We start from the raw sequence: 24,224 nt of genomic DNA, 5'->3' as shown, positions 1-24,224 counted from the left end.
AACCATATGATCATCTCTTTAGATGGAGAATAAGTATTTGACAAACTCCAGTATACTTTCATGATAATTTTTACAGGCCAAGCGTGGTGGCTCATGCCTGTAATCCCATCACTTTGGGAGGCTGAGGCAGGAGTATCTCTTGAGCCTAGGAGATGGAGACCAGCCAGGGCAACATGTCGAAACCCTGTCTCTACTAAAAATAAAAAAAATTAGCCAGGCGTGGTGGCATGCACCTGTAGTCCGAGCTATTCTGGAGGCTGAGGTGAAAGGATTGCTTGAGCCTGGGAGGCGGAGGCTGCAGTGAGCCGAGATCACACCACTGCACTCCAGCCTGGGTGACAGAGTGAGACCCTGTCTCAAAAAAAAATTTTTTTTTAGCAAACCAGTAATAGAAAGGATTTACTTCAGTCTGATAAAGGGCATCTACAAAAAATCTGTAGTTATGTCATACTTAATAGTAAAGGAGAAATGCCTCCTCCCTAAAGTTTGGAACAGTACAATAAGGCAAGAAAAAGAAATGAAAAGGCTTTTAGAACAGAAAGGAAGATGCGGAGCCGAAGCTGGACTGTACTGCTGCCATCTCGGCTCACTGCAACCTCCCTGCCTGATTCTCCTGCCTCAGCCTGCCGAGTGCCTGCCATTGCAGGCACGCGCCGCCACGCCTGACTGGTTTTGGTGGAGACGGGGTTTCGCTGTGTTGGCCGGGCCGGTCTCCAGCCCCTAACCGCGAGTGATCCCGCCAACCTCAGCCTCCCGAGGTGCCGGGATTGCAGACGGAGTCTCGTTCACTCAGTGCTCAATGGTGCCCAGGCTGGAGTGCAGTGGCGTGATCTCGGCTCACTACAACCTACACCTCCCAGCCGCCTGCCTTGGCCTCCCAAAGTGCCGAGATTGCAGCCTCTGCCCGGCCGCCACCCCGTCTGGGAAGTGAGGAGCGTCTCTGCCTGGCCGCCCATCGTCTGGGATGTGAGGAGCCCCTCTGCCTGGCTGCCCAGTCTGGAAAGTGAGGAGCGTCTCCGCCCGGCCGCCATCCCATCTAGGAAGTGAGGAGCGCCTCTTCCCAGCCGCCATCACATCTAGGAAGTGAGGAGCGTCTCTGCCCGGCCGCCCATCGTCTGAGATGTGGGGAGCGCCTCTGCCCCGCCGCCCCATCTGGGATGTGAGGAGTGCCTCTGCCCGGCCGAGACCCCGTCTGGGAGGTGAGGAGCGTCTCTGCCCGGCCGCCCCGTCTGAGAAGTGAGGAGACCCTCTGCCTGGCAACCACCCCGTCTGAGAAGTGAGGAGCCCCTCCGCCCGGCAGCTGCCCCGTCTGAGAAGTGAGGAGCCTCTCCGCCCGGCAGCCACCCCATCTGGGAAGTGAGGAGCATCTCCGCCCGGCAGCCACCCCGTCCGGGAGGGAGGTGGGGGGGGGTCAACCCCCCGCCCGGCCAGCCGCCCCATCTGGGAGGGAGGTGGGGGGTCAGCCCCCCCGACCGGCCAGCCGTGCCATCCGGGAGGGAGGTGGGGGGGTCAGCCCCCCACCTGGCCAGCCGTGCCGTCCGGGAGGGAGGTGGGGGGGTCAGCCCCCCGCCCGGCCAGCCGCCCCGTCCGGGAGGTGAGGGGTGCCTCTGCCCGGCCGCCCCTACTGGGAAGTGAGGAGCCCCTCAGCCCGGCCAGCCACCCCGTCCGGGAGGGAGATGGGGGGGTCAGCCCCCCCACCCGGCCAGCCGCCCCGTCCGGGAGGGAGGTGGGGGTGTCAGCCCCCCGCCCGGCCAGCCGCCCCGTCCGGGAGGGAGGTGGGGGGGGTCAGCCCTCCGCCCGGCCAGCCGCCCCGTCCGGGAGGTGAGGAGCGCCTCTGCCCGGCCGCCCCTACTGGGAAGTGAGGAGCCCCTCTGCCCGGCCAGCCGCCCCGTCCGGGAGGGAGGTGGGGGGGTCAGCCCCCCGCCCGGCCGGCCGCCCTGTCCGGGAGGGAGGTGGGGGGGGTCAGCCCCCTGCCTGGCCAGCCGCCCTGTCCGGGAGGGAGGTGGGGGGGTCAGCCCTCCGCCCGGCCAGCCGCCCCGTCTGGGAGGTGAGGGGCGCCTCTGCCCGGCCGCCCCTACTGGGAAGTGAGGAGCCCCTCAGCCCGGCCAGCCGCCCCGTCCGGGAGGGAGGTGGGGGTGTCGGCCCCCCGCCCGGCCAGCCGCCCCGTCCGGGAGGGAGGTGGGGGGTGTCAGCCCCCCCGCCCGGCCAGCCAACCCGTCCGGGAGGTGAGGGGCGCCTCTGCCCGGCCGCCCCTACTGGGAAGTGAGGAGCCCCTCTGCCCGGCCAGCCGCCCCGTCCGGGAGGGAGGTGGGGGTGTCAGCCCCCCGCCCGGCCAGCCGCCCCGTCCGGGAGGGAGGTGGGGGGGGGTCAGCCCCCCCGCCCGGCCAGCCGCCCCGTCCGGGAGGTGAGGGGCGCCTCTGCCCGGCCGCCCCTACTGGGAAGTGAGGAGCCCCTCTGCCCGGCCAGCCGCCCCGTCCGGGAGGGAGGTGGGGGTGTCAGCCCCCCGCCCGGCCAGCCGCCCCGTCCGGGAGGGAGGTGGGGGGGTCAGCCCTCCGCCCGGCCAGCCGCCCCGTCCGGGAGGTGAGGGGCGCCTCTGCCCGGCCGCCCCTACTGGGAAGTGAGGAGCCCCTCTGCCCGGCCAGCCGCCCCGTCCGGGAGGGAGGTGGGGGTGTCAGCCCCCCGACCGGCCAGCCGCCCCGTCCGGGAGGGAGGTGGGGGGGGTCAGCCCCCCGCCCGGCCAGCTGCCCCGTCCGGGAGGTGAGGGGCGCCTCTGCCCGGCCACCCCTACTGGGAAGTGAGGAGCCCCTCTGCCCGGCCACCACCCCGTCTGGGAGGTGTGCCCAACAGCTCATTGAGAACGGGCCAGGATGACAGTGGCGGCTTTGTGGAATAGAAAGGCAGGAAAGGTGGGGAAAAGATTGAGAAATCGGATGGTTGCCGTGTCTGTGTAGAAAGAAGTAGACATGGGAGACTTTTCATTTTGTTCTGCACTAAGAAAAATTCCTCTGCCTTGGGATCCTGTTGATCTGTGACCTTACCCCCAACCCTGTGCTCTCTGAAACATGTGCTGTGTCCACTCAGGGTTAAATGGATTAAGGGCGGTGCAAGATGTGCTTTGTTAAACAGATGCTTGAAGGCAGCATGCTCGTTAAGAGTCATCACCAATCCCTAATCTCAAGTAATCAGGGACACAAACACTGCGGAAGGCCGCAGGGTCCTCTGCCTAGGAAAACCAGAGACCTTTGTTCACTTGTTTATCTGCTGACCTTCCCTCCACTATTGTCCCATGACCCTGCCAAATCCCCCTCTGTGAGAAACACCCAAGAATTATCAATAAAAAAATAAATTAAAAAAAAAAAAAAAAAAAGAACAGAAAGGAAGAAATAAAATTGTACCTCTTTGCAGATGATATATGTCTATTTAGAAAATCCCAAGGAATCTACAAGAAAGCTTCTAGAATAAATTGAGTTTATCAAGGTTATAGGATATATGGACAGCATATTTAAAAAAAATACATATATATATTTTGAGACAGAGTCTTGCTGTTTTGCCCAGGCTGGAGTGCAGTGACGCAATCTTGGCTCACTGAAATCTCCAACTTCCCAGGTTCAAGCAATTCTCATGCTGTAGCCTCCTGTGTAGCTGGGATCACAGGTGTGCACCACCATGCCCAGCTAATGTTTGTATTTTTAGTAGAGACAAAGTTTTGCCATGTTGACTGAGCTGGTCTTGAACTCCTGGCCTCAAGTGATCCGTCTGCCTCAGCCTCCCAAAGTGTTGAGAATACAGGCGTGAGCCACCGTGTCCTGCCAAAATATTGTATTTCTATATTGTAATAGTGAACATCTGGATATGGAAATAAGAGAAAAACAGTATCGGCTGGGCACTGTGGCTCATGCCTGTCATCACAGCACTTTGGAAAGCCAAAGCAGGAGGATCGCTTGAGCCTAGGAGTTCCAGACTAGCCTGGACAACACAGTGAGACCCTGTCTCTACAAAAAAAAGAACAGTTTAACCACTCATGGTGGCACATGCCTGTGGGCTTAGCTACTCAGGAGGCTGAGGTGAGAGGATTGTTTGAGCCTAGGAGGTTTAAGCTGCAGTGAGCTGTGATTGTGCTACTGCACTTCAGGCTAGGTGACAGAGGGAGACTCTCTCAAAAAATAGAATAAAATAAATGAGATAATACTACAGACCTTTTAGAATGGCAAAAATTCAAAACAGCTGCCACACCAAATGCTGTCAACGATACGGAGCAGCAAGAACTCTCACTTTGCCAGTTGGAATGCAGAATGGTACACCTACTTTAGAATATAGTTAGGCAGTTTCTTACAAAACCAAGCATACCCTTATCATGTGATCTAGCAACCTGGCTCCTTGAGTCACATGAGTTGAAAATAACATCTACCCAAAAACGTGCACACAAATGTTTATAGTAGTTTTGTTCATAATTGCCAAAACTTGGAGGCAACCCAGATGTCTTTCAGTAGGGGAGTGGGTAAACAAAGTTTGGTACATCCATAGAGTAACGAAAAGTAATAGTAGTAAAAACAAAAAAAAGCTATCAAGACCTGAAAAGACATGCAGGAACCTTAAATGCATATTGCTAAGTAAAAGAAGCCAGTCTCAAAATGCTCCACACTGTATGATTCCAACTGTATGACATTCTGGAAAGGGCAAAACTGTGGAGACAGTAAAAAGATGAGTAAATAGCCAGGAGCTTGGGGGAGGGAAGGATGAATAGATAGAGCAGAGGATTTTTAGGGCAGCAGAAACTATTCTGTGTGGATACATGTCATTAGACATTTGTCACAACTCAAGAGAAAGCACATCAAGAGTGAACCTATGTATGCTAATACATACGTATGTGTACTATGGACTTTGGGTGATAATGATGCATCAGTGTTGGTTCATTGATTCTAACAAATGTTCCCTACTGATGTGGGATGTTAGGGGTGGGGAGGGCTGTGTGTGTTGAGAGAGAATGTATGGGAACTTTGTACTTTCTGTTCAATTTTGCTGTGAACCTAAAACTACTCTAAATAACAAAGACCATAGAAAAAAAATTAAAAGAATGACAAACTATGGCATTCATACCTGGGTACACGACAAATATTTTTTTTGAAAATGAATGGAGGCAACCTGTTGATTCAAGGAAAACAGTATTTGTTGCCAGTGATAAAAATCTGAGCTTTCAAGGTAAGTTTGGAAAGCTTGTTGTCAGTGATAAAAATCTGAGCTTTCAAGATAAGAAGTTTGGAAAGCTTGTATCTGCCATTGTGAAATTGAGGTTCCCAATAATTAATACATTTTAAGATGAGAACAATGGTTATTTTAAGGAAAGTTATATTTTATAAGGAATGTGATAAAAATTGGATGATATACGTAATTCTCTGGAACCAGTATTTTCCAGATGGTCAGTGCATGATGTTATAAAAATCATGCATGAGTAAAAGTTCCATTCAAATTGCAGGACAAATCAATGGATTTTAATGTAACAGAGTATAAAAAGCTTGTTGATACAATTTCAAGGCTATGCACAGTGGCTCACACGTGTAGTCTCTGTACTTTGGGAGGTCAAGGTGAGTAGATAGATTGAGCCCAGGAGTTCAAGACCAGCTGGGGCAACATGGTGAAACCCCATCTCTACAAAATATAAAAATTGGCCAGGTGAGGTGTCACGTACCTGTAGTCCCCGCTACTCTGGAGGCTGAGGTGGAAGATGACCTGAGCCTACATGGTCAAGCTGCAGGGTGCCGTGATTGCACCACTGCACTCCAGCCTGGGTGACAGAGTGAGACCCTGTCTCGAAAAACAAAAAAAGAATAAAAAATATGATTTCAGATGACACATTGCAGTTAGTATTTCATAAATTAGTGCTTGTTTTTGGGAAAGAGTATCATAGAATATCTACAGTTGTCTTAGAAGGCTGTGAAAATACTCTTTTCTAGATGTATAAATGTGTGAATCCAGATTTTTTTTCATAATATATTTCATATATGCCCGGCTATTTTTCATATACTTAAATAACATATTGCAGCAGACTGAATGCAGAAGCAAACATGAGAAAGCAGCTGTTTTCAATTAAGCTAGATACTAAAAAGATAAGCAGAAATGTGAAAAACAATGCTACTTTTCTCACTAATTGCTTTTGGGAAAGGAAAGGTAATGAGTTTATCGTTATTTAAAAATGAATTAATATTTTAAAAACTTTTTTTTTTTCATTTCTAATATGGCCAGTATCCAATACCACAGTAAACAAAAATTTTGGGGAATCTTCAGTGTTTAAAAGAATAAGGAAGTGCTGGCCAGGTGCGGTGGCTCACTCTTGTAATCCCAGCATTTTGGGAGACCGAGGCAGGAGGGTCATTTGAGGTCAGCAATTCAAGACCAGCCTGACCAACATGGTGAAACCTTGTCTCTACTAAAAATACAAAAAATTAGCTGGGGGTGGTGGTGCACGCCTGTAATCTCATCTACTCGGGAGACTGAGGCAGGAGAATCACTTGAACCTAGGAGGCGGAGGTCGCAGTGAGCCGAGATCACACCACTGTACTCCAGCCTGGGCACCAGAGCGAGACTGTCTCAAAAAAAAAAAAAAAAAAAAAAAAAGGAGTCCTGAAATAAAATAGCTGAAGAACTTGCTTTTGTAAGGAAGCTGTTTCAGAAGTAGACTGTCCAAATTACTTAATCCAGTTGTTCCCAAATTTTGTTGCACTTTAAAATCACCTGGGTAGGAAAACCCTTTTGCTTTGTGTGCTGATGAAAGGCAGAAAACCACATCCAGTAACCCCTGACATTAGTCTCCACTGAAAACTTGACAAAAAAGTGCTGGTTTCTCTATCCTAGTATCACACTTTTGAAATACTGAGTTATTACTTCTAATGAGGAAGACAGCCATGTTTGTGGTCATGTGCTTCATATGTTAAAGTTAGCTTTTGAAATGGCACAGAAAACTGAATGTAAATGCCCAGTACAGTATCAGGTAACATGGATTAAACATGTCTAAAGTAGTATTCACTAAAATACTTCAGTAATTTTATAGCTTAGTAGTCCCTTAGTATGCATGGGGGAGTAGTACTAGGAATCCCCAACAATACCAAAATCCACAGATGCTCAAGTCCTTTAAATAAAATGGTGTAGCATTTGCATATAACATACACATATCCTGCTGTATACTTTATTTTATTATTATTAGTTTTTGAGACAGAGTCTCACTCTGTTGCCCAGGCTGGTGTGCAGTGGCATGATCTCGGCTCACTGCAAGCTCTGTCTGCCGGCTTCCTGCCATTCTCCCGCCTCAGTCTCCCAAGTAGCTGGGACTACAGGCGCCTGCCACCACACCTGGCTAATTTTTTGTATTTTTAGTAGAGATGGGGTTTCACCATGTTAGCCAGGATGGTCTCGATCTCCTGACCTTGTGATCCACCTGCCTCGGCCTCCCAAAGTGTTGGGATTGCAGGCGTGAGCCACCGCTCCTGGCTCCTGCTGTATACTTTAAATTTTCTTTAGATTGCTTATACCTAATACTATGTGAATGTTGTGTAAATAGTTGTTGTACTATATTGTTTAGTACAGATGCAACCATCCATTTATTCCCGTCTAATATTTTTCTTCCTCGGTTGAATCCATGGATGCAGAACAGATAGATACAGAGAGCCTACTGTACAGAGTGGAAGCTGCTTCCCCCAAGTTATGAAAAATTATGCAACTAAGGCCGTACCTGAACGCTAGAAAGCTAGAAAACTGCCACATTTGGTTAATGAAAATTGATCTTCTTTTTGAGATCAATTTTCTCAAAATTGATCTGCAAATTTGAGATCATGCCCAGGCTGGAGTGCAGTGGTGCAATCTCGGCTCGCCGCAACCCCTGCCTCCCAGGTTCAAGCGATTCTCCTGCCTCAGCCTCTTGAGTAGCTGATATTACAGATGTGCGCAACTTTCCCTGGCTAATTTTTTGTATTTTTAGTAGAGACAGGGTGTCACCATGTTGGTCAGGCTGGTCGTGAATTGCTGACCTCAAATGACCCTCCTGCCTTGGTCTCCTGAAGTGCTGGGATGACAGGCATGAGCCACTGCGCCCGGCTGAAAATTGATTTTTAATGTCAAGTTTAGTGATCCACAAATTTGTAGCAGCAGTTGTAAAACACTTGACTTTGAATATTCCATATGTGTGTTCTCAGCATGGATTTTTTTTTTTTTTTTTTTTTTTAGAAAAAGAGTTTCGCTCTTCTTGCCCAGGCTGGAGTGCAATGGCGCAATCTTGGCTCACCGCAACCTCCACCTCCCGGGTTCAGGCAATTCTCCTGCCTCAGCCTCCCGAGTAGCTGAGATTACAGGCGTGTGCCACCACGCCTGGTTAATTTTGTATTTTTAGTAGAGACGGGGTTTCTCCATGTTGCTCAGGCTAGTCTCAAACTCCCGACCTCAGGTGATCTGCCTACCTCGGCCTCCGGAAGTGCTAGGATTATAGGCATGAGCCACTGCACCCGGCCTCAGCATGGATTTTTTTTTTAACCAGCTAGTGAATTGCTCATGTTAACTTTTAAGGTAGAAATTTTTATTGAGATAATTGTAGATTCACATGCATTTTTAAGAAATAATACAGAGAGATCCTTAATACAGAGATTCTATTTATGTTACCCAGTTTCTCCCAATGATAACAAATTGTAAAACTGTAGTACATTGTCACAAGCAGAGCATTGATAGTGATATGGTCTGCAGATCTTATTTAGATTTCCTCCAGTTTTACTGTACTTATTTGTGTGTATCTATAGTTTTCTGCAATCTTACTATATGTTTATGTTCCTGTGTTCGCCACCATAATCAAGATATTAACAGTTTATCACTACAAGAGTTACCTTTTTTATAACCACACCCATCCACCCTCTCCTACCCCCCTAACTCTTGGCAGTCATTTCTATTGTTTTGGCATTTTAAGAATGTCATATAAATGAAGCGTACAATATGCAATCTCTTGGATATGTTCATGTGTCTATTACCACAGTCAAGATAATAGAATCTCGAACTTTAAAAAGCTATTAATTGGGCCGGGCATGGTGGCTCACACCTATAATCCCAGCACTTCGGGAGGCTGCGGCAGGTGGATCACTTGAGGTCAGGAGTTTGAGACCAGCCTGGCCAACATGGTGAAATCCCGTCTCTATTAGAGATACGAAAAAAATTAGCCGGGTGTGGTGGGGCACGCTTGTAGTCCCAGCTACTTGGGAGGCTGAGGTGGGAGAATTGCTTGAACCTGTGAGATGAAGGTTGTAGTGAGCTGAGATGGTGCCACTGCACTCCAGCCTGGGTAACAGAGTGAGACTGTCTCTCAAAAAGTAAAAAATAAAAAGCTATTAATAAATTAATTATTTTGAGATAGGGTCTCATTCTGCTGCCCAGGCTGGAGTGCAGTGGTGTGATCATGGCTCACTGCAGTCTCAAACTCCTGGGCTCAAGGGATCCTCCTGCTTCAGCCTTTTGAGTAGACGGGACTGGAGGTGAAAGTTTACTTTTGAAGGAGGAGGGTCTCACTGTGTTGGCTGGTCTCCAAATCCTGGCCTCAAGTGATCCTCCCACCTTGGCCACCCAAAATGCTGGGGTTACAGTCATGAGCCTCTGTGCCTGGCCAAAACCTACTTATTTAAACAGCTTCATTGATTATTCTTTAACAGATTGAATGGTCTCCATGTAATTTCTCCTGATTTTTCAGGATTCATATTAATTAAAGTTGGACAATGAAGAGAAAGAGCATGTTGATCATTTTGTTACTGGTCTAGCCTGCCGCTCATGAAGATCCCCTCAAAGTTCAATGACAGATTGGGTATCAAATTTCTTTTAGAGTAGATTGATTATCTTAGAACCTAGTGGACTATACATAAATAATCTAAAACAGGTTTCCAGGCTGAGGTTTTGACCCTGGGGTCAGGAGTGTTAATGGAGGTGGGAATCTTAAAACTTTTTATTATTTTTACACTTTGGGAGGCCGAGGTGGGCGGATCACGAGGTCAGGAGATCGAGACCATCCTGGCTAACACGGTGAAACCCCGTCTCTACTAAAAGTACAAAAAATTAGCTGGGCGTGGTGGCGGGGGCCTGTATTCCCAGCTACTCGAGAGGCTGAGGCAGGAGAATGGCGTGAACCCGGGAGGCGGAGCTTGCAGTGAGCCGAGATCGCACCACTGCACTCTAGCCTGGGCGACAGAGCGAGACTCCGTCTCAAAAAAAAAAAAAAAATCAAAAAAACCTTTTTATTATTTTTAAAAGTCCTATATGAATTGCTAGCTAGTTAATGCATCAATAATTTGCTTTTGGTTAGAATTCTGTTATCTCAGTTTGGGAAAACAAGCTTTCTTGTTCTGATTGGAAGCTCTGATTAGTGGCTGACATGGTAGGAATTGTTGGATTTGATAATTGGATCAAATTCTGGTACCATAGCTACTGTGATCAGCCACAGTATTCATACTGGACAGATGCTATATGTGATCTTCTTTGGCTATGGATATGCAGTGGCAGCAGACATTAGGTGATAATAAACAGAAAATACACAGGAAGGGAATACCTCACAGTGTTACTAACAGCAAGCCCTTGGCTTTCAATTGACAGATTCCTAGGAAGAAAATACTTTGTAAATATTGTGACCCTGTATGCATACACACAAACACAATAGAAACAGTAGTTGCACAAAAACAGTTCTTTCAAATGCGCAGTTCTATCATATGTTCTATTTTTTTTAACTTTTTTTTTGAAACGGAGTCTCGCCCTGTTGCCCAGGCTAGAGTGCAGTGTCGTGATCTTGGCTCCCTGCAACCTCTGCCTCTGAGTTTCAAGCTATTCTCCTGCCCCAGCCTCCCAAGTAGCTGGGACTACAGGTGTGCGCCACCACACCTAGCTAATTTTTGTATGTAGTAGAGATGGGGTTTCACCATATTAGCCAGGCTCGTCTCGAACTCCTGACCTCAAGTGATCCATCTGCCTTGGCCTCCCAAAGTGCTAGGATTACAGGCATGAGCCACCACCCTGGCCCTATTTTTTTTTTTTTTAATTATTAAAATAATGCTGCTTGTCAGCCACATTGATTTCAGGAACCATCAATGGGATGTGATTTCTGGTTTAAAGAAAAAGCACCGCTTTAGGCTCATTCATGATATTTCATGTCAGCATTTTTTTGATGCCAGAGCCTCGCTCTACCCCCAGGAATCTTAGTTTAAAACTCTTTTTACTCATTTGTATGAAGCATTCAGTAAATTCATTTTGTATTGAAGCTGAGGAATTAGTTGAGTGCTAGCTAGGTCATTTTCCTATGTGTTTTAGTTGGAGATCTATTATGGTAAAATAATTCAAATGGTAGTCAGAAATTTGGTTGGTGAAAGATTATTTTGAATTATGTTTGGTTGGGGAAAAATTATGCTGGCCTTGGTATGCTGAGTGAATTAGAGAGCTTTATTTACTTTTTTTTCTCAAGTGTCTCTCCCCTGACACCCCCTGCCCTTGCCTCCCTCACTTTACTCAGAATTTAAGCTTCTTAAGGCTGATTGGTGCTGTAAGTTTCCTGTGCTATATCCCTTGTAATAGTGCCTCTCACACAGCGTAGTAGTGTCTCAGTGTAGTAGTAACTTCTCACATTGTTCTTTTGAGCTCTTCTGTACTGAGAAACGGTCAGACTCTTGAGAACAGAATGTGTGTGTGTGTGTGTGTTCATTGTCTGGCAGGTAGTCAGGGCTCATCAGTTTTTTTGTTTTTGTTTGTTTCTTTTTTCTTTTTTTTTTTTTTCTTGAGATGGAGTCTTGCTCTGTTGCCCAGGCTAGAGTTCAGTGGCATGATCTTGGCTCATTGCAGTCTTTGCTTCTTGGGGTCAAGCGATTCTCCTGCCTCAGTCCCCTGAGTAGCTGGGATTACAGGCGTCAGCCACCACGCCCAGCTAATTTTTGTATTTTTAGTAGAGATGGGGTTTTGCCATGTTGGCCAGGCTGGTCTCGAACTCCTGACCTCAGGTGATCCCACCCACCTCGGCCTCCCAAAGTGCTGGGATTACAGGCGTGAGCCACTGCACCCAGCCAATAATTTTTTAAAATTTTTTTGCAGAGATGGGGGTCTTGCTATTCTGCCTAGGCTTGTCTCCAACTCCTGGCCTCAAGAGATCCTCCTGCCTTGGCCTCTCAAAGTTTTGGGATTACAAGCATGAGCCACCACACCCGGCTCATTTTTAACTTTTATCTTCAGCTATAATTTCAGTATCATCACATGACTAAGATTATACAAGAAGTTATCTTGTGAGCATTTGGGACAAGAAGCAGAATTGACCAGGTGCAGTGGCTTATGCCTATAATCCCACCACTTTGAGAGGCTGAGGTGGGAGGATCGCTTGAGCTCAGGAGTTCTGGACCAGCCTGGGCAACAAAGCAAGATCTGTCTCTACAAAAAATGAAAAAAATTAGCTGAGCCCAGGTGGCACACATGTGTAGTCCCACATACTTGGGAGGCTGAGACAGGAGAATCACTTGAGCTGCAGTGAGCTGTGGTAGTGCCACTGTATTCCATCCTGAGCAACACAGCAAGACCCTGTCTCAAAAAAGCAGAATTATAACGTTGGTATAGACTTGTGCATACAAACATTGACACACTAAGTCTGAGTGTTCCATTCTGTTCAATAGTATAGTCACCACATTGTTGAAAGATACAAATTTAATGCAAAATAATATTTTTGAGGCATGGAACTCATTTTACAGGTTGAGAAAATAATGGAGAAATTGACTGGCCTTCCTGGTTTTCTTGAGCAGTTGAAAGCCTAAGGCTAAGGATGCGATGCAAACTTTTGTGTACTCAGGATCTTTATATATGCTAAAAATAGAGAGGGGGCCAGGCACCACAAAGTCTGAAAACTACTGTTCTGCGAAATTAGGAGTGATATTTAGTGAATCAGAATTGTGCGCTGTACCTGAGGCAGTGTATGCATGTAAAGTAGGCTCTTGATAAAACTGTGCTGATTGCTTGAAACATTGAAGGTTTATGTATAGGAGAAAGGCATGATGAATTCAGTGTTTCACACAGATTCTTGTCCTTAGCAATTTGGTTGTATTGTTAGTGTATACTGAATTCAACAATAGGCAAATTATTTGTCTTTTCTCTACCTCAGTTCCTCTCTCTTGCACCCTCCTTTCCCAAACTCTTTGTCTCTCCTCCCTCTCCACCCTGGATGTAAGATGAGTATGTTTTGGGGACTAAGTACTTTAAATTGTGTTGTTCTGTTAGCATACCTCAAGTCAATACTGCAGTGAGTACAAATCACATTAATTACCTTTATAAAGGACAAAGCTCTGCTTTCTCTGTGTTTGGTCATAAATCTAGATCTTTGGAGTATAATCCCAAGTAAAGCGTAGAGGATAGTTGTAATGACTTGTTTGAGGATTGGTTCTTTCTGTCGTGGTCAATAACTTTTCAGCCTCACATGTCAAGTTTTCTGCTCTCAGAGAAAGCTATTGTATCATTTTTGCTCAAATATTTTTTCTTTTTTTGAGATGGGGTCTCACTGTGACACCCAGGCTGGAGTGCAGTGGTGCAACATTGGTTCACTGCAGCCTTGACCTCCCAGGCTGCCATCTCAGCCTCCTGAGTAGCTGGGACTATAGGTGTGCACCACCAGGCCCGGCTAATTTTTGTGTTTTTTGTAGAAACAGGGTCTTACTGGGTGGTCTTGAACTCCTGGGCTCAAGCAGTCCACCTGTATCGGCCTCCCAAAGTGCTAGGATTACAGTTGTGATTGCTCAATGTTTCTGTCAACCTCTGTTGAAGGAGAGTCAGGAGGTATTTTGCCTTGACTGCCACTCTCTTAGCTAGGGCTGCCATAACAAAATACCATAGACTGGGTGCGGGGGTGGATTAAACAGTAGAAATGTATCTTCTCAGTTCTGGAGGCTGAAAGTCTGAGATCAGGATGTGAGCAGGGCTGGTTCCTGGAGAGCCTCTCCTCTTGGCTTCTAGATGGCTGTCTTCTCTCTCTGTCCTCACATGGTCATTCTTTTGTCTGTGTTGTCTGTGTCCTAATCTTCATTTAAAAGGATACCAGTTAGATTGGATTAGGGCCCTAAATCTAAATAGAATCACATTGTGAGGTACTGGAGGTTAGGACTTACATTTGTGAATTTTTGAGGGGACACATTTCAGCCCCTAACAGCGGCCAAGACTGTTGTGATTTTGGCCAAGTAACTTTATAGTTTGCAGGATGTGAAGCTGAAGTGTATAAGGTATAGATGGAGCCTGGTCACTGTATTGTGAAGAGATTTTTTGTTTTAATTTTATTTTAGGCTGGATGTTTGTTTCAGATATAATTGTACTTTTTTTTTTCTCGTTTTCTTCATTCTTGACCTTTATTTCTGAAACACCATTGGTACTTGATCATTCAAGGAAAAGTTAAAAGCCCCTTTTCAGAACCCGTTTTACTGAACAAATTTGTAAATGGAAAGATTATTTCCCCATCCTCTATGAGGTCTTAAATGAAGGATTGATATTTTTCTGTAGCTTTAACGTGTGAATTATTCCAAAGAGTGTAAGTAACAATACTTTTTTTGCATTTGACTTCAGTCATTTTCCTCATATTTGTAGAGTAAATATCCTTGATGTGTCTTTTGATTAGTGCTTTGTATCCAGGTACTCTCCACCCAGCTTCAACAGTCATCAACTTTTTGTTGTTTCATCTGCTGTCCCTTAAAAATTTTTTTGCAGTGGGCCAGGCACGATGGCTCACGCCTGTAATCCCAGCACCTTGGGAGGCCAAGGCCGGTGGATCACCTGAGGTCAGGAGTTTGAGACTAGCCTGACCAACATGGCAAAACCCCGGCTCTATTAAAAAGACAAAAATTAGCTGGAAGTGGTGGAGTGCACTTATAGTCCCAGCTACTTGGGAGGCAGAGGTAGGAGAATTGCTTGAACCTGGGAGGCGGAGGTTACAGTGAGCTGGGATCACGCCACTGCACTCCTGCCTGGGCAATACAGTGAGACTCCGTCTCAAAAAAAAATTTTTTTTTTTAATAGATTAAGCCCATTATTCTTTAATTGAGATAAAAGTCGCATAACAGAGAATTCACTGTTGTAGCCATTTTAAAGTGTATAATTCAGTGGGATTTGGTAAATTCAGTTTTTTGCAGCCACCATCTCTGTCAGGTTGCAAGACATTTTCATCATCCCAAAAGGAAATTCTATTTTAATTAAGCAGTCATTCTCCATTCCTCTCATTCCCCAGCCCGTGGCAAACACTAATCTTTTAGCTTTTTGTCGCTGTATATTAGCATGTTCTGGATTTTTCATATAAACATAATCACACAATATGTGACTTTTTGTGGCTGACTTCTTTCACTTAGCATAATTTTTTTTTTTCTTTTTTTTTGAGACGGAGTCTCACTCTGTCGCCCAGGCTGGAGTGCAGTGGCGGAATCTCTGCTCACTGCAAGCTCCGCCTCCCGGGTTCACGCCATTCTCCTGCCTCAGCCTCCCGAGTAGCCGGGACTACAGGCGCCCGCCACCACGCCTGGCTAATTTTTTTGTATTTTTAGTAGAGACGGGGTTTCACCATGTTAGCCGGGATGGTCTCGATCTCCTGACCTTGTGATCCGCCAGCCTGGGCCTCCCAAAGTGCTGGGATTACAGGCGTGAGCCGCCGCGCCTGGCAGCATAATGGTTTTGATATTCATGTTGTATTTATATCAACTTAATTTCTTTTTTGCAGCTGAATATTTAAATCCCTTTTGACTTGTGAAAAAATCTATTCTCATTTTATAGTAATAGAAACTATACTGTTAGAATAATTTTATTCTAATATAATTAGGTATTTGATTTGGAAGTCATAATTTTAAAATATGCTTTTGGGCCAGGATCTGTGACTCATGCCTGTAATCCCAGCACTTTGGGAAACTGAGGCGGGCGGATCATCCGAGGCCAGAAGTTTGAGACCAGCCTGGCCAACATGGTGAAACCCTGTCTTTACTGAAAATACAAAAATTAGCCAGGCATGGTGGCAGATGCCTGTAATCCCACCTACTCGGGAGGCTGAGGCAGCAGAATTGCTTGAACCCGGGAGGCAGAGGTTGCAGTGAGCCAAGATCATGCCACTGCACTCTAGCCAGGGCAACAGAGTGAGACTCTGTCTTAAAAAAAAAAAAAAAAAAAAAGGCTTTTGGGCTGGGCGTGGTGGCTCATGCCTGTAATCCCAGCACTTTTGGAGACTCAAGCAGGTGGACTGCTTGGGCTCAGGAGTTCAAGACCAGCCTACTAAAATACAAAAAAAATTACCTGGGCATGGTGGCATGCACCTAATGGTCCCAGCTACTCAGGAGGCTGAGGTGGGAGGGTTGCTTAAGCGTGGGAGGCAGAGATTGCAGTGAGCCGAGATCGCACCACTGCACTCCAGCCTGGGCAACAGAGCGAGACCCCATCTCAAATAAAAAAATGCTTACCAGAACTGCTTTATTTTAGAATTACTGGCCCAGACATCTGAATTGAAGCTGGTAATTGAAATTGGGGTGCTGAAACTTAATTGGATTCATGGAATAACTGAGTAAACAGTCTTCCACCAGCCTTATTGAATCAACTGCTTAGTTCTTTTCTGCCGTTTAATTCACACACAGCTCTAAGACATAGAATATTTTTCATCTTATTTCAAGTTAATGTTTGCCAAGGACCTTCTGGGATTGCTTCAGAGTGGTGGAAATAACACAGGTTAAATGCATATTTTATTGCACTATTTATTTTTGGTGTGCGAAAGTCAGGATTTCTTTTCCCTCCACCCCTCCTCCTCCTTGTTGTTATTATTATTCAAATTTAATGGTCTTAGGAGGGACCAACGTGACAAGGCTGAATGAAGTACTACCAAGAATATTTCATCAAAAGGAAATCATAAATTTTTTCAGGCTCATTATTTAGTGTCTAGAGAGTGAGATAAGGCAGTTTTAAGAATACAGACAAATAATGGTGGCCACAATCTTTTCTGGTTTTGAAACAAAAGCAATTGTGGAAATGTTTGTAACTTCTCTCCTTTATTGTATTTGTAATAGTTTTTAATTTTATTCTTTTATTTTATTTTTGGAGACAGGGTCTTGTTCTGTCACCCAGGTTGGAGTGCAGTGGTGCTATCATGGTTCACTGCATCTTTGACTTCCCAGGCTCAAGTGATCCTCCCACCTCAGTCTCCTGAGTAGTTGGGACTACAGGTGCGCACCAGCACACTGGGCTAATTAAAACAATTTTTTTTTTTTTTTTTTGTAGAGATGGAGTCTCACTATGTGCACAGGCTGGTGTTGAACTTTTGGCCTCAAGTGCAGTCCTCCTGCTTGGCCCCCCAAAGTGCTGGGATAACAGATGTGAGCCACCATGCCTGGCCTGATTTTTAAAATGTGCTTAAAATTTATTTTAAAATCATGCATATTTGTATTATTGGCATGTAAGTTTAAATGTAGAGCATTGAAGCTGAAAAACTATAAGGTCTTAACATTTTCCTCTTCAGATATAAACTTAATGTTACCTTTGTAAATATGTAAATAACACATACTGAGAAATAAGTTTCTGTGGTACTTTGCTCCTGAAATTTGGGCATACGTACTTTTTTTGTTCATTATAGATATGAAATAAGGTAGTTTATTCCTCTTTCTACACTAGTCCTGGGAAATTTAAAAGAACAAAAGTCAAATTTTAAAGAGCATTTAATGACTTGTATAAAATGGAGTCTTAATAAACATGAAAATAATTAGTTTTATAATCAAACATCTAAGTGGAATTTTTTTTTTTAAGACAGTCTTGCCTTGTCGCCCAGGCTGGAGTGCAGTGAGGTGATTTTGGCCCACTGCAACCTCTCCCTCCCGGGTTCAAACGATTCTCCTGCCTCAGCCTCCTGAGTAGCTGGGATTACAGGAGACTGCCACCACGCCCAGCTAATTTTTTTGTATTTTTAGTAGAGACGGGGTTTCACCATGTTGGCCAGGCTGGTCTTGAACTCCTGACCTCCGGTGATCCGCCCATCTCGGCCTCCCAAAGTGCTGGGATTACAGGCATGAGCCACTGCGCCCAGCTGTGAAATTTTAATTTTAAAAATGTAAGGCCAGGCTTGGTGGCTCATGCCTGTAATCCCAGCACTTTAGGAGGCCAAAGTGTGAGGATCTCTTGAGCCCAAGAGTCTGAGACCAGACTGGGCAACACAGTTAGATATTATCTCTAGGAGAAAAAAAAGAAAAAGTGAACAATTCCCAGTGATCCTACCTTCTTTTATTCCCTAAGCATAAACACGTACCCATCCACTGACTCACACATACACACCCTGCCTCAAGCTGTTATGAATTGTGCTTTTTTTCTTCACGAGGCTGAATTTTACATCAAATGCCTCTTAGCACTTATTCTGTGAATTAGTCTTCCCCTGCCCCCTCCCTCCCTCCCTCCCTCCTTCCTTCTTTCCAACAGGGTCTCTCCCTGTCACTCAGGCTGGAGTGCGGTGGCATGATCATGGCTCAGTGCAACCTCAAAATTCTGGACTCAAGTGATTCTCCTGTCTCAGCCTCCCAAATAGCTAGGACTACAGGTGCATGCCATCATGTCCAGCTAGTGTTTTTATTTTTTGTAGAGATGGGAATCTCACTATGTTCCCCAGCCTGATCTTAAACTCCTGGCCTCAAGCGATCCTTCCGCCTTGACCGTAGTCTTTTTCAGATGTGTAACTGGTCTCTGTCATTGATCTAATATAGTCATGCACCACAAAATGACATTGTGGTCAATGCTGGACCACATATATGATGGTGGTCTCATAAGATTATAATATAGTATTTTTATCATACTTTTCTATGGTGTCTTTTTCTATGTTTAGACACATGAATACTTATTGTGTTACGGTTGCCACCAGCATTCAGTAAAGTAACATGCTGTGCAGGTTTGTAACCTAAGAGCATTAGGCTGTACCGTGTAGCCTACGTGTGTAGTAGGCTGTATATACCATCTAGGTTTGTGTAAGTACAACTCTGTGAAGTTTGTACAGTGATGAAATTGCCTAAGGATGCATCTCTGAGAACATACGCCCGTTGTTAAGTGACTCATGACTGTAGTTCATTGTGTAAGTGGAAATGATGCACGTTAGATAAGGGAAAAGAAATGTAAAAAGTGTTCATTTAAAAATGTTTTCAGGCAGTGTTGCAGTGCTGATATTTGTAGTGAAAGTACTTTTTCCTTATCCTAGTATCCTAGAAGGAAAACATCACCATGGCTACAGAAATTGGTTCTCCTCCTCGTTTTTTCCATATGCCAAGGTTCCAGCACCAGGCACCTCGACAGCTGTTTTATAAGCGACCTGATTTTGCACAACAGCAAGCAATGCAACAGCTTACTTTTGATGGAAAACGAATGAGAAAAGCTGTGAACCGAAAAACCATAGACTACAATCCATCTGTAATTAAGTATTTGGAGGTAAGCCTGATTTATGTGCTTCAGATGACCAAACTTTGGTTATTTATTTATTTATTTATTTATTTATTTATTTATTTATTTATTTTGAGATGGAGTTTCTTTCTTGTTGCCCAGGCCAGAGTGCAGTGGTGTGGTTTTGGCTCACTGCAACCTCTGCCTCCCGGGTTCAAGTGATTCTCCTGCCTCAGCTTCCCAAGTAGCTGGGATTATAGGCACCTGCTACCATGCCCGGCTAATTTTTGTAGTTTTAGTAGAGACGTAATTTCAACCATGTTGGCCAGGCTGGTCTCAAACTCCTAACCTCAGGTGATCCACCTGCCTCAGTCTCCCAAAGTGCTGGGATTACAGGCATGAGCCACTGCGCCCGGCCTGGTTATTTAAAAGAAGATGATTTTCTAGATGTAGTGTAGTAAGTATGTATACCTGTGTTAGTTGAATTAGTGGGACACGGTGGAATTTCAAATTGGCTAATTTAGGAAGAACCTCAAACCACTAATACTTTATAAAATTCTGTGCCTGTATCATCTTCTAAAAAATTATTAAAGTTAGACTCCATTTTAGAAATAGGATTTGCTCTAAAAGTTCACAAATTAGAAGGGAGTACTTTAATCGCTAGGCCAGTCTTAAAACACTTGTTAAACCTGCAGTGTATATGAAATCATAAAAGACTACCAACATAGGAATATTTTTGTGAGACACTGGCTTGGAGAACATGGATTCTCCCACTTCCAAGCCCTGGTGGTAGGTATTTCTTAGAGTCAGGAAAAGGGCTTTACGTTCTTGAGGATTGAACGCCTACTGCAGTCCTACAGGGTAAAAGCAACTTAGATAGTAAGTAAAGGCAAGGCAGGGGTCTACCTGCAGTTTCCCGTTAGAGTTCTTTATTTACTTGTGTTAATGTAGGAATTAGCCTTATTACTAATATTACCTATTAGGTTCATTGGGTTTAGGTCTGGCCTCCTATGAAAATTTGTCTGTTTTTCATTACCTTAGATCTGTGGTTAAAGACCTATTTGCATATTGGGCCTAGTTAATATGTTGCAGGCATACAGGAGAAAGAGATTCAGAGATAAAGACAGATTTTGATTTTTCTGGGAATTTCAATTGGGAAAGTAGGCTAGGAGAGAGTTTGAGAGGAATTAAGACCAAGGGCAAGATATGAGGAATTGTTTTGTGCTGAGGGCTTTGAAGGAATTGGGGATGTCTTTCTACCCTCTCTGCTGTTTCCTTTTCTTAAGGTAGCATCAGGGAGACTGTGTTGGAGTCGACAGTATCTTGGATGAGTGGGTGGGGACTAATATGATAACATGAGGAGGGAAGGTTTTTTTTTTGTTTGTTTGTTTTTTTGAGATGGAATCTCGCTCTGTTGCGCAGGCTGGAGTGCAGTGGCACCATCTCAGCTCACTGCAACCTCCGCCTCCCTGGTTCAAGTGATTTCTGGCTTGTAGTTTTAGTAGAGACAGGGTTTCACCATGTTGGCCAGGCTGGTCTTAAACTCCTGACCTCAGGTGATCTGCCTGCCTCGCCCTCACAAAGTGCTAGGATTACAGGCATGAGGCACCTCGAGGAGGGAAGTTCTAAGCAATGTTAGTAGGATCAGAAGGGAAAGCTCTCTAAGGCACCCACTATTTGTTTTAGAAAATAATATTTTTTAATTCTGTTTATCCATTTTTAATATAGCTTACATTTTGTTAATTTCAAATTGAGTATAATCAGACCATATAGTCATTAATTGATCTATTTATTTATTTATTTATTTATTTATTTATTTAACAGAACAGAATATGGCAAAGAGACCAGAGAGATATGCGGGCAATTCAGCCTGATGCAGGTTATTACAATGATGTAAGTACATGATGTGTCATACTAGCTTAATAAACACTTCCTTGCTTGAATATTTTAGCCTTCACTGTGTGACTTCAAGTCCAAAATGGTCTTTTCTTTTTACATTTTTATAATTAAAATATTCCCAAAGGGATAATATAACACATCTGTGTAAGCCATGGATTATGTGTTTGTCTCAATTTAGATTTTCCTTTTAATCTAATGATGGGTGAATTTTTGATTTGGGGCTTAAAGCAGTGTCCAAAAAGAAGTTGAGTAATCTAAAGTCTTGTAATTGGAAAGTTAATTTTAAATTTCTTAAAACTTAAATTTGAACTTAATTAGCTTTATGTGGACATGTTTAAATATGTTGACTTTAAGTACTAACTGGGTTAGTACTTGTACTAACTTGTACTGGGTTAGTACTGGTACTTGATTTTCTTGTTTGTTTAGTAATAATGGGTATTTAACTTTCCTGTATCTCACTTTTCTTCACTTAATTAATAGACTAATTGTAATACTTTATAATAGTTTTTATGGGAAAGTTCTATATGGTCCCAAATTTGTCTTTAAATGTTGAAATAATTACCTTGCCGTGTTTCTGGTTTCTGCCTTGTATGTAATCAGGAGCTCTAAGAACCCAATTTTCCTTTTTTGTAGCTGGTCCCACCTATAGGAATGTTGAATAATCCTATGAATGCAGTAACAACAAAATTTGTTCGGACATCAACAAATAAAGTAAAGTGTCCTGTATTTGTTGTTAGGGTAAGTAATCTGTTGGATATTTTGGGGGAAAATTAATCCTGCGTTATATAGCAAATGTATTTGACAGGGCAAAGAAAATTAAACATTATTTTAAAAGTATATCTGGGCTTATAATTGGTTTATTGCTAGTAATTTTATTTTGGAATATCCAGTTGTTTATCTACTTTATCACCATTGAGTGAGATACCACTTTTGGATTGTTTTTCTTCATGTGGCAATTTCTGTAGAATTCTCTCTGAATAGATGGATACATGTTGTAGCAGGTCTCAGAGTTGCGTTTGAGTAGGAATGCTTTTATTAACTATTTAGAAAGCAGCATCCCAAGGTAAATGAAAAATACTTAGGAGTTAACAGACAGGAAAACATCTGAGAGCTGAAGAACTGTGGTGTACCGTAATTTTTAGCTCTATGAAGGTACCTAGTAGGCACTTAATACATTTAAACTGAAATTTTATTTTATTTTTTTATTTTTTTTAGACAGAGTCTCACTCGGTCACCCAGGCTGGAGTGCAGTGGCGTGATCTCGGCTCACTGCAAGCTCCGCCCCCCGGGTTCACGCCATTCTCCTGCCTCAGCCTCCCTAGTAGCTGGGACTACAGGCGCCTGCCACCATGCCCGGCTACTTTTTTTTGTATTTTTAGTAGAGACGGGGTTTCACCGTGTTAGCCAGGATAGTCTCAATCTCTTGACCTCGTGATCTGCCCACCTCAGCCTCCCAAAGTGCTGGGATTACAGGCATGAGCCACCGTGCCCGGCCTTAAACTGAAACTAATTTTAAAACTGAAACTAAATTTAAAAAATATAATTTTTAGTTATAACCCCGATTTTCATAGATGATAATGTAATCATTTTCTTCTTTGTGTTTCGATTATTCCATTTCCTAGCTAATGCACTTGTTGGTTAACAGTCTTAAGTTGAGCAAATAACAGTTGAAAAAAAATGAGACCGAGAAAAGACGATTGTGTCAAACATTAGTGGCAGATGAGGAAAATAAGCAGATCTTCTGATATCAGAGGAGTATGATAGAGAGCAGGGAGAACCAAGAAGTCCTGGGAGAGAGATGTCAGTCTGAACTCCATAGAAATAGCTGCATTTAGTCTTAGGCCTCTTATTTGCCTGAGAGGCCTTAGGCAGTAGACACATCACTCACACCTGTAATCCCAGCACTTTGAGAGGCTGAAGTGGGTGGATCACCTGCGGTCGGGAGTTTGAGACCAGCCTGACCAATATGATGAAACCTCGTGTTTACTAAAAATACAAAAATTAGCCGGGTGTGGTGGCACGTGCCTGAGAGAGGAGGCTGAGACAGGGGAATCACTTGAACCTGGGAGGTGGAGGTTGCAGTGAGCCTAGATTGTGCCACTGCACTCTAGCCTGGGCGACAAGATCGAAACTCTGTTTCAAAAAAAAAAAAGAAACATTGTTATGTGAGTAGAAGCAACCAGTGTGTAGTCTAATTTTTTTTTTAATCAGGGAATTTGGTTAAAGGGGTATGATGTGCAGCTAATTTTAATATCCTCTTAGCATAGCATGGAAAACCTTTTTGAAAAGAATAAAATCCGAGCATCCATATCTTATAAGGTGGGTAAATGTTCTCATTTGGGGATTACGCTATAAGGTTTGAGGAAGAATTTGCACATAGTAGAGGCACAGTCAAAATCAAAAGGTATTAAGGTATAAAGACTGTGGGCTCTGTGTCTACAGTTTGGTTGTCTGTAGTATTGACCGGGTTAGGATCCATACCAGATAACAGAAACTAGAAAGAGGGGAGGCTTTTAATCTGATAATCAAAACTGTGACTTACAGGTAAGCAATGAAAAGCCAAATTGTCATATATATTTGTGTAATTTAAGAAATAACCTTCATTTTATATATCCTTACTGTTTCTATAAGCACATATGTATTTGTATTTTTCAACTTTGTCGGAGTTTTTGGAAAATAGGATTGTTGTATTGCCATTTTGTATATTTACATCTTTTAAGGAAAATGAGTGTGTGATCCATCATAGAAACTTGAAAATAAAAAGTAAAAACAAAAAATTTGAATGTTTCAAATTAACCAGCACATATGCCACAGATTTCCTTTAGTATGCAAATTGTGACATCAAAATACTGATGTAAAAATATTTAAAGGGCCTTAAGTGCAAAAAGTAATAAAGGACTTTAGGTTTAATTTAAAAAGAGAAAAGGTGCACTTAAAAG

The 24,224-nt window shown here is 44.0% G+C and overlaps 1 protein-coding gene across 6 annotated transcripts in view, besides 3 other annotated features; it reads left to right on the top strand.

Annotated features, from left to right (window-relative positions):
• The window catches only part of WDR33 (WD repeat domain 33), a 110,145-nt gene that overhangs the window by 20,960 nt on the left and 64,961 nt on the right, over positions 1-24,224 (top strand). For all 6 annotated transcript variants that reach the window (XM_005263697.4, NM_018383.5, XM_011511436.2 and 3 more), the window contains exons 2-4: positions 19,208-19,434; positions 21,211-21,279; positions 21,919-22,023. In XM_005263697.4, coding sequence (XP_005263754.1) covers positions 19,231-19,434; positions 21,211-21,279; positions 21,919-22,023 — 378 coding nt within the window. In that variant the 5' untranslated portion in view covers positions 19,208-19,230. The remainder of the gene's footprint in view (positions 1-19,207; positions 19,435-21,210; positions 21,280-21,918; positions 22,024-24,224) is intronic.
• Positions 12,931-13,131: a silencer, noted in NCBI's record as "peak3856 fragment used in MPRA reporter construct". NCBI's record gives its function as "represses an SCP1 promoter by STARR-seq MPRAs in K562 erythroleukemia cells {active_cell/tissue: K562}" and the evidence as "EXISTENCE:reporter gene assay evidence [ECO:0000049][PMID:32103011]".
• Positions 13,771-13,971: a silencer, noted in NCBI's record as "peak3855 fragment used in MPRA reporter construct". NCBI's record gives its function as "represses an SCP1 promoter by STARR-seq MPRAs in K562 erythroleukemia cells {active_cell/tissue: K562}" and the evidence as "EXISTENCE:reporter gene assay evidence [ECO:0000049][PMID:32103011]".
• Positions 18,951-19,151: a silencer, noted in NCBI's record as "peak3854 fragment used in MPRA reporter construct". NCBI's record gives its function as "represses an SCP1 promoter by STARR-seq MPRAs in K562 erythroleukemia cells {active_cell/tissue: K562}" and the evidence as "EXISTENCE:reporter gene assay evidence [ECO:0000049][PMID:32103011]".

This window comes from Homo sapiens, chromosome 2, assembly GCF_000001405.40.
Source record: "Homo sapiens chromosome 2, GRCh38.p14 Primary Assembly".
NCBI lineage: Eukaryota > Metazoa > Chordata > Mammalia > Primates > Hominidae > Homo > Homo sapiens.
This window is presented reverse-complemented; position numbering and strand designations above follow the sequence as displayed.